This window comes from Homo sapiens, chromosome 11, assembly GCF_000001405.40.
Source record: "Homo sapiens chromosome 11, GRCh38.p14 Primary Assembly".
NCBI classification, from domain to species: domain Eukaryota; kingdom Metazoa; phylum Chordata; class Mammalia; order Primates; family Hominidae; genus Homo; species Homo sapiens.
Window position 1 is genome coordinate 19,150,369 of NC_000011.10, and position 18,429 is coordinate 19,168,797.

The 18,429-nt window shown below is 36.2% G+C and overlaps 1 protein-coding gene across 12 annotated transcripts in view; it reads left to right on the plus strand.

The window, feature by feature from the left end:
- The window catches only part of ZDHHC13 (zDHHC palmitoyltransferase 13), a 59,312-nt gene that overhangs the window by 33,265 nt on the left and 7,618 nt on the right, over positions 1 to 18,429 (plus strand). For 7 of the 12 annotated variants that reach the window (XM_011520195.2, NM_019028.3, XM_005252996.3 and 4 more), the window contains 9 exons: positions 359 to 423; positions 1,790 to 1,952; positions 2,191 to 2,316; positions 5,428 to 5,561; positions 8,572 to 8,672; positions 12,935 to 13,059; positions 13,933 to 13,995; positions 14,684 to 14,777; positions 15,934 to 16,017. In XM_011520195.2, the coding sequence (XP_011518497.1) occupies positions 359 to 423; positions 1,790 to 1,952; positions 2,191 to 2,316; positions 5,428 to 5,561; positions 8,572 to 8,672; positions 12,935 to 13,059; positions 13,933 to 13,995; positions 14,684 to 14,777; positions 15,934 to 16,017 (955 nt within the window). Of the gene's footprint in view, positions 1 to 358; positions 424 to 1,789; positions 1,953 to 2,190; positions 2,317 to 5,427; positions 5,562 to 8,571; positions 8,673 to 12,934; positions 13,060 to 13,932; positions 13,996 to 14,683; positions 14,780 to 15,933; positions 16,018 to 18,429 lie in introns of those variants that run through there. The other 5 variants (XM_047427141.1, XM_047427142.1, XM_047427143.1 and 2 more) reach the window with 2 other exon arrangements.

Below are 18,429 nucleotides of genomic sequence, written 5' to 3' on the forward strand. Positions count from 1 at the left end.
AAATGATAATGCGAATTAATGTGTCAACTAAGGTCTCAACTAGGTGACTTTTAAGGTCTCTACCATCTCTTGTATTTGATGGTAGCTATCAACATTTTACTCTTTCCCTTAACTGTGTTCACATCATATAACACTTTACATTATATATTCAGATTTTCTTTTTAAAAATATTCTGTGGAAATCCATGGATTTTTACCCTATGGAAGTGAGCAAAACATTCTTTTTATCAAATGATATTTGAGCCCTTTATGTAGAAATAATGGTAGTATTGAATGTATTAAAGAGATATTTCTATTAAGAGAACAAATAGACTTTTGAGTGTATTTACAGTTATGCTAATTGTCTTCTTTTTGAATAGAGTGTGAATATGACAGATGTAAATGGGCAGACACCTCTCATGTTATCAGCTCACAAAGTAATTGGGTGAGTTTAATTTAGTCCACTCAATCTCATTCTTGGTTCCAACTATTTCTTTTCTGTGTATGTAATTTTAAGTATCTGTGTCTATGTGAGATGATAGTACATTGAAGAAAATAAGATTTTTCACACAGAGACTGTGATAATTGACTTTTAAGGTAGTTATAGTTAGAAAAGCAGCCTTGAAATACATTTTCTCTTTTCTGATAGCTTTGGCAAAAAGTTTGAAAGCTACTAATAAGAAAAAAATTTCCTTACCTATCAAGTAGATATACCTTGAAATATACTTGTTAACATGACTTGTATTTCTTCCTTTGGCTTTAAAAAAATGGCTATAATTTTAAATGTTCTCATAATTTGAAATCTAAGTGATAAATCTGCTTTCTGGAAAATATTAAATTTTGAGATTCTCTGACATCATTCTTGACTACTTTGAAAATATCATTAACTGAAAAGAGTCTGTATGTTCAGATCAGGCACTTACATATTCAAGTTTTTCTGTGTATTTATTTCTATAAACACATGATTAATGACCACTGTATAGTTCAACTTCTGGTATTTATCTAGGCAGATACTTACGACAGTTCTCACTTTAGCAGTTTGTTTCTATGTTGTATTGAATCTCTGATTTTGCTTGTACTTAGGACTTCTAGGAACTGTGTTAGTTCTAATGCTATTTCCTTTTTGTTCATGGAATGGTAGGACTGGAGGTAGAATTTTATTAAAAAGCATTTTCTCTTCTGTGCTGGTAAATCTGAAGTCAGGTATAATCTCTATAAAGATATTGATAGAATAAATAAAGTAGAATATTGTTTTATTAAAAGAATCTCTTCAGTGGTCATGAAGGAAGGAAAGGTATTGGTAAAGTAAAAATATTTTACTGAATTCTGTCTTCTAGTCCGTAACTTTCTAAGATATACAAATATTTTAGGGCATAATTTATACCTGCTTTATTTAACAGTTGATTTGATGGAGAGTATGAAGTTAGCTCCTCAACTAAGACATACATTTAGTCTTTAATTGAATAAATAGCATAGCATTTAATATTGGCTAAAGTTAAATCTATATTCAAAGAAAAGTGTTAGCCAATAGAACAACAATATGAAAGGAAAAGTTTGAAAAACAAAAGCAGTTATTCCACTGCATTGTTAAAATTATCTATCTGTATAGCAGTCGTCATTTAATAGATGTCTTTTTTTTTAATCTCCTATTAGTACCTAGAATAGAACTCAGTACAAAGAAGTTTCTCAGTTCTGAATACTTAACTGAATGGTTAATTGATGGCATTATCTTAAAAGATTCATAATTTGCATTTACTCCTTAAGTCATCATCTCTGTTAATGCCTCTTGGTATTTTATTATTTTGAGACAGGCCAGAACCAACTGGATTTCTTTTAAAGTTTAATCCTTCTCTCAATGTGGTTGATAAAATACACCAAAACACTCCACTTCACTGGGCAGTTGCAGCAGGAAATGTTAATGCAGTTGATAAGCTTTTGGAAGCTGGTTCTAGCCTGGATATCCAGAATGTTAAGGTATGGCCAGATATTTATCTCCCTTAGTTTATTATATCTTGAGTTAGAAGATTGATAAATTAACGTAAAGATAAGCTATATAATTGTTTTCAGTTACCCCAAGATAGATATAAATGATAATAGCTGGCTATCCTTGGAATAATGTGTTGAGTCTATGATTCTGGTGTTTTTAAAAAAAGTTTAGCACTCATAATATATTAAAAATACTTTTAAACTTTTTACCCTACTCTTTTTTAAGGGAGAAACACCTCTTGATATGGCTCTACAAAACAAAAATCAGCTCATTATTCATATGCTAAAAACAGAAGCCAAAATGAGAGCCAACCAAAAGTTCAGACTTTGGAGGTGGCTGCAGAAATGCGAGGTATTTTCATATGGGGTCTTTTCTATGGGATAGATGACTTTTTTTGTTCATTTGGTTTTGTTTATTAAGGCATCAGAGGAAACCAGAGAGTTGGCTTTTTGCTGCATTATATCTGCTGACTATATCTTTCCCCCGCATCCTATTACCCAAAGTTGGAAATTTGGCACTTTCATTGGCTATTTATTGTTGGTCCTCAACTAGATGCTCTAAAAGTGCTTGTTACCTTATGAATATCATTGTGTACTTCCACATTTATTTAATGAATGTATTGAAATGCAAAAGGTTTTGATTTTTAGAGACACAATGGGAAAAACACCTTGTTGCAAGGAGTTTTATAGAAGCTTGTAGGAATAGTTTATTCCTTACTAAAATTTTATTTCTTGAAAAGAAAATAATAACATTTACAATGTTTCCTTAGAATCATAAGGACTTTAAAAATGATAGTGTTGAAAATTTTAGGCATATGATGTCACTTCATAAAAGAAAACACTGGAATTTTGAGAGATTAAATCCAAATTTTATTCATTTTTTTTAGCTTAGCAATTCTGTGTGGTGTTCCTCTAAACTTTAAAATGAACTGAATAATGGAAAACTTTAGAAACTTCAGGTTATTCTCATGAATGTCTAAGAAAATCTAAGTCATAGAAGTGAATACTATTTAAATTGTTAAAATGGAATATTGGATTGATTCCACTGTTTCTAGTGTTTTCAAATATGATACCATCATCTTATTAATAATAATTAGTAATTGTACTTTCAGAGTGATTCTAAATTAACAGACACTGTATTCTTATGTAGAGGATCATCATGAATGCTACACTGCTTTTGCATTAGGCATGTGGAGTGGGGAGAGAAAGAAATAGTGGTTATTCCTCAGTCTCCTTTGCCAGCTCCTCCACTTCTCCCCCATCTCTTGTTGGTAGGGTGCCCCAGGATTTTGTTATTGAGCTTCCTTGCTATCTATTCATTCCCTAAATGCCATCTATATGTTGATAACTCCCATATTTGTCTCTCTAGTCTAGACCTTTCCATGCTCATATATCCAATTACCTACTTTACTCATCCGCTTTGATGTCTAATAGGCATCTCCTGATACCCTCCCCACCCTTCCCCTGACTAAGCCAAGCCTTCCCCATCTCAGTAGCTGGTAACTCCAGCATTCCTCTGTCTTCGCCTTTTTTTTTTTTGTCATACCACATATGCAGTCCATTAGAAAGACGGGTTAACTAGTTCAGCCTTCAGTTTATGTCCAGAATCTGACCCCTTCTTACCACTCTACCACTGCCATGTTGGTTCAGCAGATGAATCTTCTAAAATGTAAGTCGGGTCATGTCACTTATCAGCTCACATTCCTATGATGTCTCCTCATTTCTCCCAGAGTAAAAGCAAAGTCTTTATGATGGCCTATAGGGCCCTTTGTCATCCAGGTTTTTATATACTATAAAATTCACTTAGTATATTTATTTGTCTATCTTCCCCAGCTAGAATTTAAGTGAGAAAAAGATCTTAAGTTCATTGATGTGTCCCAAGTGCCTAGAATAGTACCTTGCATATAATATGCCCTCAAGTATTTGTTGAATGAATAGGGCAGCTTGTCTGTAAGAGTGTTATATCTAGGATTTAGAATTTTGAGATCCATATTTAATTCTTATCTCTGTTCTGAGATTATGTTGCTAGGAGATTCTAAATTTACATTAAAAAAAATCTAAACTAGCCCATTTTGTGTCATCATGCCAATTGGAATAGGAAACATTTTAAAGACTTAATGTCATTTGAAATTATCCACTCCTAGATATGGCGTAGAGAGGTGAAAATGGAGGAAGAAAGAAGGAAGCCCTGCTTACTTTCAAGGTCTCATATCTTGTCATTAAAGACTGCATTGCACAAACATGGGGCCCAGCTTCAATTCAGTCAGACCATTGTTTCATAGAAGTTTCATTCTTTTAACTTTGCCAAAATAAACCTGAATTAGTAGCATCATGAGGACATATTTCAGTCTTTGATCTCCATGTGACATTTGACACTGAGAACATCCCCCTTCTCGAAACTCTCTTCCCTGGATTCCCTGAAACCTTTCTTTCTGCCGGTTCTCATCCTGCCTTTCTGGTCAGTTGTTCTTGGTTATTTTTGGTGACTTTGCTTTTTTCCCCTTAAGTGTTTGTTTTGGCTAAGATTCTGCCCCCTTTCTACCTGCACACAGTCTTTGGGATGTTATTCACTCACGGCTTTACCACCTATGTACTGATAAATTTCAAGTCTTCCAGAATGCTAGACCTACTTTTGACTGCCAGCTGGTTGTCTCCTAGATGTCCATAGGCATTTAAAATTCTACGTTCTCCAAACATAGCTCATCTTTTCTGCAGACCTATTGCATCTGACCTTCTGCATTAGGGATGGCATGGTGCAGTGCCCAGGTTGGAGCTCTTATAGTTCCCTCATTGAGTCTTTTGTATTAATTTCTATGTAGTCCCTTGAGCTTGCTTTATGCTTTCCAATATAGAATACTGTTTGCAAGAAGTAATTTTGAAAAATCTTAGCTCTCATTAACAGTTTTCTAAAAGACCACCATTTCTTGTAGAGAAGAAAACAAAACAAAATATGTTTAAGTAACATTTTATAAAATGTAGGGTTTTTAAAAGGTTGTTTCCCACTTTGGGAGGCCGAGGCAGGTGGATCGCCTGAGGTCAGAAGTTCAAGACCAGCCTCGTCAACACAGTGAAACCCCGTCTCTACTAAATATACAAAAATTAGCCAGGCATGGTGGTGGGTGCCTGTAATCCCAGCTACTTGGGAGGCTGAGCCAAGAGAATCGCTTGAACCCAGGAGACAGAGGTTGCAGTGAGCCGAGATCGCACCATTGTGCTCCAGCCTGGGCAACAAGAATGAAACTTCATCTCAAAAAAAAAAAAAAAAAAAAAGATTGTTTCCAAGATGTACAATCTCTCAAACCTCAAATTTATCAATCAGCAATTTTAGAGGAAAACTTTGTGTTAGCTTTGTTGTTGTATTAATTGTTATTATATACTTTGGAAGTAGTTCTTATATTGCACTATTATTAGATACTTAAGAGGTAAAATCCATAAAGTTCTAAAATTCTGAATCTCTTAATAGCTCTTCCTGCTGCTGATGCTTTCTGTGATTACCATGTGGGCTATTGGATACATATTGGACTTCAATTCAGATTCTTGGCTTTTAAAAGGATGTCTTCTAGTAACACTGTTTTTTCTGACATCTTTGTTTCCAAGGTGTGTATGTTAATTTTTGCAAGGCTGGTTATTGTGTTTCTGATTTTATTTCTTATTTCTGTTGTTGGTTAGCTGGAGTCACAGATTTTTATCATGCTGTAAATATTACTTACCATATAACAGCATCCTGCGGGTGGATGGGAGGAAAGGGCTCTGGTAGCATATTATTTGGCTGAAAGCAAGTTGCTCAACCCAGTAACTTGGTTGACTTGACAACTGGTGGAAAATAAATATCCTGGGTCACGTTTTAATTGTTATTTTTGGTGAATGATGGGGAGATTTTTGTAATCATTTCATAATTATTCAAGATTTTGTAATCATCTTGAAGCATTTTTGCTCATTTTTCAGAAATTTTTTCCTTTTTCTAAATTTATTTTAAGCTAGTTATTTTTGCTGTCAGTCATTTTTAGTTGAGTTAAATTGTGAGAGATTATAAAATAGTAAATATGGTATGGTTTTATTTTTAGGACAGTATTTATACATGATTATATATAGTTAATGGTTAAGAGTCAGACTGCTTGAATTCAAGTCAAGCTTTACCACATGACAGTCTGACATTGAACAAGTTGCTATAAAATGAGGGTTAACTTGTGATAATGCCTGCCTCATGGTTAACACATATAAACACATAGAACTATAGCTGACACATAGTACTCAATAATCATATCACCCCCCATCTCTTCTTCTCTCTTACCTTTCTCAGTCAAATGGCATCCAGTTCCTCAAATGAATATGGGTGTCATGCTTGGATTACTGTCATCCTCTCCTCACCTCCCACGTCCAACCCATTACCAAGTGTTCCCTACCTGCCTGTCTCCATCTCCACAACTCGCATCCTAGACCAAGTCTCCTCACTGGTCTCCTGACTTCTTATCCCCCTGGAGTTTACCCCCACTTAGCAATCAAGGGAGTCTTTTAAAAAGCAGATAAGTTCTTTCTTTTCTCCCTGCTTAAAGTGCTTTAGTAACTTTTTCTTGTACTCAGAACAAAATCCAGACTCCTTGCCTATGGGGTATGATGTGATTCATTCCCTCCCCAGCGACTTCCTCTCTTTCCCTTCTCCTCATTGCACTGTACCTTCTTTCTCACACATCAGGCTCATTCCCACCTGGGGCCTTGGCCCTTGCTTGGGTCTTTGTCTGAAGTGTTGTGACACCTTATCTTTTCATAGTTGGATATGTCATTCAGGCCTCAGTTCAGCTGTCACCTGCTTAGTGAGGCCGTTCCTGACTGATGCTGCTGCATCCCTGTTTTATTTTCTTGTAGCACTTAATCACTTTCCTGCAACGTAAAGCCCATAAAAGCAGGAAACTTGTCTCTGCTGTTAAACATTTTCATTCACTGAATGAAAGAAAAATGTAATGATGATGATCCATAGAAAAGAATCTAAAGGGAAATACAGGGTTGCTCTTTGCAGATTATGATTATGAGTATTCCTCTGTCTTTCTGTCGCTTGCCAGCATTCTCTGGCATAAGCATGCCCTGCTTTTGTCATAAGAGCAAATGAAGTATTAGAGGAATCTTACTACTGTATCACCCAAGAGCAGGACAATTGGCTGGAAATGAATTAGAATTTAAATGTAATGTGAAAACTCAAATTTCTGAAAAATAGCAAAATGCCTAAAATTGTCTGCTATTCAGACAACTTGTGACTTAGAGATATTTATTCACTTTCCACTAATTGGATTAACTTGGGCTCTAAATAAATTTTAAGCCAAATCACCAGGGATCAGAGTCATCACTCCTTTTTCAGAGAGGAAGCAAGGGCTGGTAATATCTACTCCCCTAGGATAGGAACATTTGAGATTATGTTTGGTTGTTCGTTTATTGTAGTTGAAGCCTACATTATAAAAATGGACGCAATTCAAATGTGAGTCAAATGCATATGACAACTTTATTCATACATCCCTTATTTCTCATATTCCTCTATAGGGTCCCAATTTCATGGAGGAAAGCAACTGTAAACTACTATTATTACAGGGCAGTTGCTTATTGATCTGGGCTGTTAACCTGACACCTGTCAGGAGTGGACATGTAGTGGTAGCAGGCTCTTGTAAATTAGTAGTTCATTGCATTACCTAATTGGTCAAATGCATTTTTTGCTGCAAGATCTCCGACAGACCATACCCTGGAGGTTGCAAGGGTTTCATTTGGCCTATTTTGGCAGCATGTTGAGCATCTAAAGTTTGGATTCTTTAGTTCTTCTCAAATATGAACTTACCATTATTATGGTTATGATCCTGGTAGCTAATTTTTTTTAACCCTTCATACCTACTGTTAATCATTGTTTTTTCCTGGAATAAATTTTAAAATATATTCAGGTAAACTATATTCATGCATAAGATGACTGTGGTGAGTATTTAGTGTAAAAGACATTTTCTTTTGAAACTGCAGTATTTTGGATAAATTACATGTGAACCTCAAATCGCCTGTGACCCAAGTGAGATTGTTAGTGTTCTGAATACTAGTATCATTTTTAGCCTTTGTGTATCTTTTTATATGAAGTGTCTACTTCTCAAGCTGATTATAGGATGAATGTGCTTAAGGTTGTGTGCATCAGTATGCTTAACAAATATCATTTTAGTCTCTGGAAGAAAGCTTGCTAAATGTAAAGGTGAATCTCAAGTATATAAATTTTTGCATTATAGTGTATTTAAAAATATATGCCAAAAAAGAAATAAAAATATATATCTCATTAGAAATACAAAAGATCCATTGAAAACATATATTAAATCGTTGTGAATTAAATATTGTATGAGTTGGTTAGAAGAACTAGAACATACACTTCTTGAGAGTCGTTGTGCTTTAGTTTTCTCCTGTGTAAAATGGGGGGATGATGTTGCATAACTCTATTACCACATGGAAAGTGACACATAGTAAGCACTCAGTATGTGAAAGCTATTACTGTTGCTGCTGGTATTATTATTACTACCATTATTATTTAGGGAAATTTAGAACTAAAATTAATACAAGTCATACTAATAACTTATATTTATCTTTTTTCTTTTAGGTTCTTGGTTGGGTATAAGAACCTTGTATACTTACCAACAGCCTTTCTGCTAAGTTCTGTTTTTTGGATATTTATGACTTGGTTCATCTTATTTTTTCCTGATATCCTTTAAGCATCAATTTTGATGTGTATCTCATTTTGCCTTTAAAAGAGTAATGTTATTGTTAGGAATTTAGGTATTGGAAAAGGCCCAGGGAATGCAACTTATATTTGCATTCATTTAATGGTTCTGGATGAAGACGTTTAATGTTGAAAATCTACTTGATTCTAAAAGTAGTCTCAGAGTACATTATGGAAACAGTAAGTATCTAGTATTTATTACTCATAGGAGGGGAACAGTAGAATGTATTATTGTTTTACTTGTACCATAATTTGTTGGATTGTCTTGAGATTCCTTCAAGGTCAGATGGTTCTCATAATTTGGTCAGCAGTTACAGTTAATTAATACATTTTCTGAGTACTAAGACGGACTGCATGAAAGGGATATTGGGGAAAATATGGCTTCCTCAGTAACGGTAAGTGTTAGTGATATTATCTAAGGCAATGATTCTCAATCCACGGTGAAAATAAATTTACTTTGCCACTCAACATATATGTAAAACAAAGACTGTACTCCTAATATATGCTTTACTCTATGGTGTTATTTCATCCCATTTCCTTTTTAAAAAATTTTAATCATGGCCCATTTAATTCTTTCATGACTCACTAATGAATAGCAGCCTGAGATTAAAACAAAAACAAACAAACAAAAAAACTCATCCAAGGAATAGGTTTATTACTTAAGGATCAGGGCCCAGGACCAAGTCCAGCTTAGGGGTGTGTTGTTCTCTTAGTGTTGGCCAAGTCCTGTCACCTAGAAATGGGGAGAGGGGTTACTTGGGCTCTAACCATTTGTGACTTCAGGTAGGTGGAAGGCATTTTCAATCTTCCCACCTCTTGCCAGACTCCCTTCTCCCCTTCCAAGGACCCTGGGAAGCCCTGATGGCCTTGCTTTGCTTATGGAGTAGGAGAAGAAGGAATGTTGTAGATAGAAATATACCTTTCAGTGTGTTCATTTAAACTTCCACATTACTTCTCTTTCTGGTAATAGCATTTCCGAAAAGAAAGAACAGAATGTTTATGGGAGACATGCATAAACTGAATTCAAGAATATTTTTTCCATAGGAATAAATGTGAAATGAGATGGCCATAGGAGTTCTCAAAGTACATATGTCCACATCCATTATAGCATGTTTTTCCTTTATGCTCCTTTTTATTTCTGAGCATTATCTCTAATTTAATTTTTCAGATTTCTTTAAATGAATGGCACAGCATACATTGGGGCCATTTGGCTTTTTTCAAAAGATTTTATTATCTCTTCTTTGTCTCATAATTACTGATTTGGTGGCAGTTTTTTAAGCACTAGCCTTATTACCACCACTTAATGAAGGCTTGGATGATATTATTATTATGATAGAAAAATACATGATTTTATAAGTAGTCATGAGTGCATCAAATAACAGCACAGGATACAACAAAATCACTTGCAGAAGACCTAACGCTCATAAATTCTAGGGTAATTGACATGACACTGAGGAAGGAAAGTTAGCTGATATTTTTGTTTACCAATCCATATGGCAGTGGAATAAAACAGTTTTAAAAATGTGTTTTTTGATAAATTTTTAAAATTTGAGAAACATGTCAGATTTTGCACAAATATTGAATTATTTCAAATTTGTAGAATCAAAGTCATAAATGGTTACAACCCAAGTAACCCCTCTCCCCATTTCTAGGTGACAGGACTCGGCCAACACTAAGAGAATAACACACCCCTAAGCTGGACTTGGTCCTGGGCCCTGATCCTTAAGTAATAAACCTATTTCTTGGATGAGTTTTTTTTGTTTGTTTTTGTTTTAATCTCAGACTGCTATTCGTTAGTGGGTCGTGGAAGAATTAAATGGGCCGTGATTAAAATTAACAAAAGAGAACTGATTTCCATAGCTAGACAGAATCTTAAGATGTTGGAATCAACAAGATGGATGATTTTATTTGCTTGTACAACCTAAAGCCCTTTGTTCTAGGCAACCATATGAACCTGCTACTTGTGAGGGCATATAAGTCAGTAGGTGGCATACTTCACCATCAGAATAATGTTCTTCAAACTAAATTTTAAATCTTGGAACTGCCTTGTGGATGAACTGAGATGCCGCCCTGGGTTTTAGGCTAGCTTTGTCTCAGGCTGCCGTCTGGATTGAATAAGGGCATCTGCTTCCGCAGATACTGGCCTATTAGGGGAAGACATTCTGGGGCACTATGGAAGAAGACAAAACGATTTTGAGTTTTAGCTCTTTTCAGACTAGTTATGCACCATTGGGGCAAGGTACATAATTTCACCAAGCCTTAGTTTTTCTGTAAATTGGAGATAACAGAAACAAGCTCATGGTGTGGCTGCAAGGATTACTATAAAGTGCTCACCACAGTCCCCATGGCAAAATTGGCATTCTATAAATATACCTAATATTTTATTATTAATTATTCTTATGAATAAAATTGATGTGGAAGGCTGCATGTTTAAACTAATTTCAAGGGCAATTCTAGGTTGGCTTCTCAGATGATCAGTTTCTTTTGGTACCTTTTATAAGTTCAGCAAGTAATGTCTGGCTTGTGCGAGGGGGGATTGAATACAATAAAATGGAACCTTATTGATGAGTTTGAAGGTAAAATTCAAACTCAGGAGAGAAATGGTGAATCACTGAATATTACATTTGTGATATTGGCTGTAACTAACTGAGTTAAGTTTAAGAGGGATAAATACATGTAAAGTCCCATACTGAGTTTCAGAAAATCAGTTATACAAGTGCATGTTATGGTGAGCTATGACATAGCTTCTGGTCAAGTGCAAAGGAACGAGGCGCTGTGACTAAATGCTCAGTGTGGCTAGTGATGCAGCTGTCAAGAAAGCAAGTATATTCTCACATAGTATTACAAGGATTTGAGTGTCCAAGCAAAAGACAACAGCAGCTTCTCTGTCCTCTACACTGGTGTTTGCTCTGTTTTGAATTATATCCTTTTAAAAGAGAGAATGACAAATGGGAGCATGAACAGAGGAACATGACCAGGAAAATGTTATATAAGGACAGTGTTGCTGTTTATCTTGGAGGTATGATCACTGTCTTCCAATTTCAAGTGTTTGGAAGTCTATCATTTGGAAGCCAATGCACTATGTAGAATGGGCACTCAGTAAAAATGTATTGAACCAATGAGGGGATAAGCTTATGTAGGTTAGATCTAAAAGACAGCTACTGTGCAGATCTAAAGGATCTAATGAATGAAAATCAGTTGGTTGAAGTTATAGAAAGGCAAATTTTAGCTCCATATTGAGAGACTTAACTGCAAAAGTGTTACCAGCTTACTGGGAAGGCTGTGTGTCTATAAACTATAGTCCACATCTGAGTGCCTTAGATAAAGCATTCTTAAATTCAGGGAAGGGAGAGTATGATTCTCTCCAGGGAATCAGAAAAGATTGCAAGGAAGGAGGGAAAATATAAGTTAGGTTTTAATCGCAGTTAAGACTTGGATACCCTAAAAGTGTGGTTTTAGAAGAAAATGAGAGGAAGTAGGGGACATTTTAGGTCAGTGAACCACACAGGCAAGAGCACCAAAGCAAGGAGTGTCTTCAGCTTCTATGTGAGGTGATAGGGTGTAATTCACTTTACTTGGAGAGTGGTGATCCAATGATTCCCCTGCCATTTGTTTTGTAAGTTAATCAAAATAGGAGCCGAAAATTCAGTCAGCTCAGCGTGCAGGATCATTGCATTATGAAACTGAACGTATTTTTGAGAACTGAACGTATATATTTTGAGTCGTGTGTCGATCAGGATTTCATAAAGAAATTATGATGTGATTCTTTCACAAAGGATCTTGCCCTATGTACCTTTAATAGTGTCTTTCTGCAAACATGTATCTAATATATAGGGAAATACTTTTATTTGGAATCTCTGAATCAAGAGGGTTGTTTCTTTGAATGATTTTGTTAAAATGATCAAAGAATATTTTTCTAGATGCTCACAGGAGAGCCACAATTACACCATTAGAGATAAATTTATTTGGTCTTGAGTGTCACTTTTCAGGATGTTCCTCATAAGTTGCAACTATTCCTATCAAGTATTTAATATGAGCTTCAACTAATAAGGAAACATTAATTATTAGCCAAGTGGGAACAAATTCCAGTAGGATTAGAACATAGGATGGGAAGAGATTTAGGGGCAGGGACATGTGTGCATAAGGAAGGTGAGATTCTTAGGTGCCAATGATGAAATTTGCTTACATCATAATTACATTATTTTTAAAGGAAGTTTGGTGTATTCCTTAACTTGGCTTTAACATTTAGCAGGAGCCCCTTTCTATTTCAGTTTCATTTTCAGCATAGTAGCCTTTCTATACTTTTTCTATAAGACTTGGGCAACTGATCCAGGCTTCACTAAGGCTTCTGAAGAAGAAAAGAAAGTGGTGAGATTTCTTCGTTACTGATATTTTTAATAGGAGGGTTTGTAAACTTTAGAAAGTTTATATGCACATATGCAGATGTGTTGCTTTTTGTTACGGCTGCATGACATGTGGGGTGATATAGCAAAAATTAGATTTCCACTCTTACAGTTTTTTCATTTATGTATATGAAAGTTTTAACACATATTTTTATTTTCTGTTGAAATAATACCCCACCAAGACTTTTTCAGATGTGATTCCTTTTAGGAATATGATCTCCTACTTCCTTGTAATAACATTTTCATAATGGTCATTTAGCTTACATTTCCCCACTAAATAAATGGAGAGTAACTAGTCAGTGACCAGGGAGAGTCCTTCTGCTTATTGGCTGAGGAGATGCCCCTCCTCCTCCTCAAATGTGAAGTTGTCAGATGACATGGCATGTTTTCCGTTGCTCATGAATGTTTAGAAGTTGGAGAATGTTGTCTTTGTTACCTAAAGCCAGTGTTCCTGAAAGACCCAGCCCTTGGTGCTTGTAACTTTCAGTTTTGATGTATACTGGTGGGTTTTTCTTTTTTAATGTGTGTGTATATTTGCATATTTATTTTTCTCTAGCAGATCATAACTGGGAGATGATTGCCATTCACAGAGATGAGGTGATAGGTGGGAGTGGTGGGGTGGTATAATTTTTATGCATCCTAATTTATTAGCTGTTGGTTGAAAATGCAACCTTGAAGAGTCACATCATTTCAAGCACAGAATGATTTGGTGGCAAGTATTCCAAATTGCTTTTCTAACTACTTCAGTTTGGAGCGAGAACTGTGAGAATGGTGTATAACCATGCATAATACATTTTCCAATAAAATGTGGTAATAGGTCAAACTTCATGTCTTTCAGAATATCATCACCCTTGCAGAAACTGGCTCTCTGGACTTCAGAACATTTTGTACATCATGTCTTGTGAGTTTTTTCATATAATTTTTTTCCGTAGTGAAAGCAAAGTCTTGGTAACGTTGCTGATGTAAGCATTTGTCAGATCTTCATGGTATATTTATACACCTTTGTTTTTACCCATTTCTAATTTTACATTCCTGTCTGAACAGCTTTCTGTCTTGAACATATGGCAGAATGATGTTTATAATCTCTTGAAGTTGTCTCTGGTTACATCTCTCCGTGAATTATCCATTGTGTGTTTTATTTGCTTTTCTCTGTCATGAAGCATATATTAGAACTAACGTCAAATCAGAGGCTCATAATGACCTTAGAAACCACTTAGTGAAACCTCTCATTTTGCAATTGAGGAATCAAGGGAGGAAGTAAATTCTCCCAAATTATTGGTGGTGCTAAAAATGGAACTTGGGTTTCCTTCCCTTGGTTGAGTGCTTATTTTGCTCTGTGGTACTGCCTCATTTCTGCTTAGCCAGTGTGAACAGGCTCTGGAATTCAGATCCCACTTAGTGATGTCCTAATCAAAGTAGACATATGGAAGTAAATACTAATAAGGCATTCCACAGCCTCTGTGTGAATTGATGGTCTGTTTAGGATTTGTGCCAATGCCTCTGTGACCTAAAGTTAAAATTTTGCTTGTGATTTGTTACCACTTTGAGACACTGGTTTTTGCTTAGGCCTCTCTTAATTGCCCACTTAGATAAGGAAGCCATTAAGGTCACTCCACTGCCATGTATGCAACTGCTGTGTGGCTCGATATGATCAACACTGCCTGTGGACTGGACGGTGCATAGGTGAGAGATTTAATTTTTCAATTACTACTGTGAAGTTAAGCATATGTTTAGTTATGACTCACAGAAAAAGTGGAAGGGCATCCTAGGGCTCCATTTTCAATATTCTAGTATTCCAATAGCAATGGGCCCATGCATCGTTATTATGCTACAGGTAACATAATATTTGCACATGCATCATTCTGTTTGGTAGCCACAGGCCTGTGAAGTAGACAGAAAAAATATTATCTCCATATTACTTGTAAAAACGCTAGATCAGAGAAGTTAAAACACTTAACTTACAGTGACACAACTAGTAATACATAAGCCTAGGTCTCCTGATTCCAATGGGTGTTGTTCCTTCTGCCGGGTTTTGCTGCTCCAGGAGAAGGTCGGACCATGATGTAGTAGCTGAGGAGTATTTGTGTCATTAGCATTGAAATGCTCCCATCTCCAGCATTGAGAAGGCAGCGTGTGCAAGAGAAGACTTAGCTGCCTTGCCCTTCCCGCTTTCTTCCCTTCTGTAGAAGTTTCTCAGATTGTGGGTTGCCACTCTTTGCATGTCCAGTAGCAACATGTAAATTTGTTGCTGCTCCTCAGTTTCGTTTTCTGTGTTCCCCCTGATTAAGTCAATCCTTGATATTCAGAGGTGGTGCTTTTACAAACATGTTACATGGAAGGAGGAAAGATACTGGGTATGATTTGTCCAAAATCCCGCCTGGTTCCCTTACTTCTGTCACAGGATAGGACAGCCTAGCTAGAAAAGTGTTTGCTTAGTTAACTTTATTCTATTCCAGAAGTTGCACTTTTACAAACATGTTGCATGGAAGGAAGAAAGAGACAGGGTATGATTTGTCCAAATTCCTGCCTGCTTCTCTTCCTTCCATCACAGAATAGGCCAGCCTAGAGCAGTGTTTGCTTAGTTAACTTTATTCTAGTCCAAAAAAGTATCTTCTTTTAAGTAAGCAATGAATAAATATTAGTTCAGTTAACATGGACAATTGACTGTGACATATCAGAAATGTGTGGTTTGATTTAATGGTACTTAAAAGCAAAGCAACAGCTTTATTTCTGTTTTACTTTGGTGAAGACTTTTGACAGGAAAGTGGTTAAGGAGGTCTTATGTTGAAAATCAGAAGAAACGAAAATATTAAGTATGTTTTTTTTCTTTTTTCTTGAGGTTTTGGCAACCATCACTATTACATATTCTTCTTGTTTTTCCTTTCCATGGTATGTGGCTGGATTATATATGGATCTTTCATCTGTAAGTGTAAATTTTTCTTACAACAAGCACATACATCTACACCCATTTCTACTTTTCCTTGTAAACCCTTGTATATCACATTCTGGCTGGGTGACTATAAACCATACTCCTAATAAAAACAAAGCAAATGCCTCTAAGACTCCCTCAGCATTGGGAAGCTGCAAGAAATACAAGATGAGGTTAGTTCTCAGTACTTTAGGAAAAAAATGTGATAAATTTGAAAAGTAGTCAAAAATAGAAATTCATTTAAGGCAAGTGCAGATTTGCTCCCCAGTGAAGAAGGAAAGTCAGCTGCTGAAGTACAAAGCTGGAGGTGGTAACTGAATAAAACAGGAAAAAAAAAAAAAAAAGGTCAGTGGTAGAGAGGTTGGGGGATAGTTGTCCAGTCATTAAGGAACAAACCTCTGAAAGCCCATGCCATTTGGTAAGTATCAAGTTGAAACTGAGAACTGATGGGAATACTAACAGTTAAAAGGTTGGAAATAGTAACTTGGAAGAAAACATTAGATCACTTATTCTGCGGCCCTGAGGAAGGAAAAAAGCTTTCAGTAGCGGTTTAAAAAAGTATATAGGGGTCTCACATAGGGAATGACAGCCAGCTGTTCTGAGGTGGTTGACTAAGAAGGACAGGGTTTAAATTGAACCAAGAAAGATTTTGGCTATGTCTTAAGAATTGCATTATTATGTTTTTCAGACCTTGGAAATAGGTTACCTAACTGGAAAAACCTATAGTGCTTGTAGTTTATTTATTTGGACTTTAACTGTTTATTATTTATTTATTTTAAGGCTTTTGGAGAATTGGGCTCTAAACACAGAGGCTTCACTTCCATCCACCCTCTTGTTACATTCTTGGTCAAATCTTAGACTTTACCAGTAGGGTACTAGTTTGTTGCTTGAGCTGAAGTCTGGAGTAATTCCGAAAGACATTAAGAATGTTATTTTCCCCTTAGCATCATAAGCCCAATACACATACACATTTTTCCTCTCTTTCTCTCTTCTGTGTCTCTCTGTCTCTTTAGTTTAAAATTTTTGTTAGTTTTCGAAAGGCAATTCTTTGTACACTTGCCCCCCAGGCTCCCAGTTTCCCTCCCTAGAAATATCAAGTATTACAAATTTTGTTTTGTTTGGGGTTTCATTTTTAGAGATTATTAACTAGTATCTATGTGTAATGAGTTATTTTTTGCCCTGCCATAGGCATGGAGGGCTTCAGTTACCTTGTCAGACCCTTTCCTACCTGACGCCTTGGGTGTCTTTGATCACTAGGCAATGCTTTTGTAGCTAAATGTGACTGTCACCATTTTAAATAGGTCTAATAGTCAGAAGGTTGTAATCTCTGAGCTCAGTTCTTGTCAAAAAGGCCACCAGTAACCCTGAGCATTCTATTTTTATTTTAATTAATTTTAATTTTATTTGTTTGTTTTTTGCTTATTTATTAATGTATTTTTTGAGACAGGGTCTCACTCTGTCGCCCAGACTGGAATGCAGCGGCACCATCATGGCTCACTGCAGCCGTAGCTTTTTGTGCTCAAGTGATCCTCCTGCCTTGGCCTCCCAAATAGCTGAGACTACAGGTGCCTGTCACCGTGCCCAGTTAATTTTTAAATTTTTTGTAGAGATGGCATCTTCACCATGTTGCCCAGGCTGGTTTCAAGCTCCAGGCCTCAAGTGATTCTCCTGCCTCAGCTTCCCAAAGTGAAGTACTGCACCTGGCCAGCATTCGATTTTTAAAACTTCTTAGATTATGTCTTATGGTGTAAAAAGTAAAAGAGTTTTTGACAGCGCTTGGTTCTATTGAGAAAGCTGCCTTTCAAGGCCTGACAGTAAAGCATATTCCTGGAAAACCTTTGTAAGTTGGCACATAGACCAACTTGTCTCTTGGACTGGATCCTATGGGAGAGGAGCCAGAGTTTACACCACTCCTGCCTCTCTTCTCTTCTCTCTCTTCACTAAAAATAGTCACCTTTGTTTGGCATCTATGACCAGCATAAGACTGTATTGATAAGGACAGAAGTGATTTTCCATCACATTCAGTCTTTCCAAGTTAGTTTTTTTATTACACATGTTGATTCTTCCCTTCTCTTTGTCTTTTTTCTCTGGCTCTGAACCAATTTTCATATTACATTTTGTTTCATAAGAACAGTCCCACCTTATATTCACTTACAACTGTATAAACTAGCTGAGTGTATTTTGTTACCTTTATTCCATTTATATTCCAGCAATATTTCTTTACACTGAATGAGGGCCTTGTGTCATTTATTATTATTTCACAGACAAAACATGAACTTGTGCTCCATTTCTCTAATGAGGCCTCACTGTCATCCCACCTCCCTTGTTTACCATTAATGCTGTATTACTAGAGCCCTGCTCTATACTCTCCTTCTCATGTGATCCAATAGCTGCTACTTCTGTACA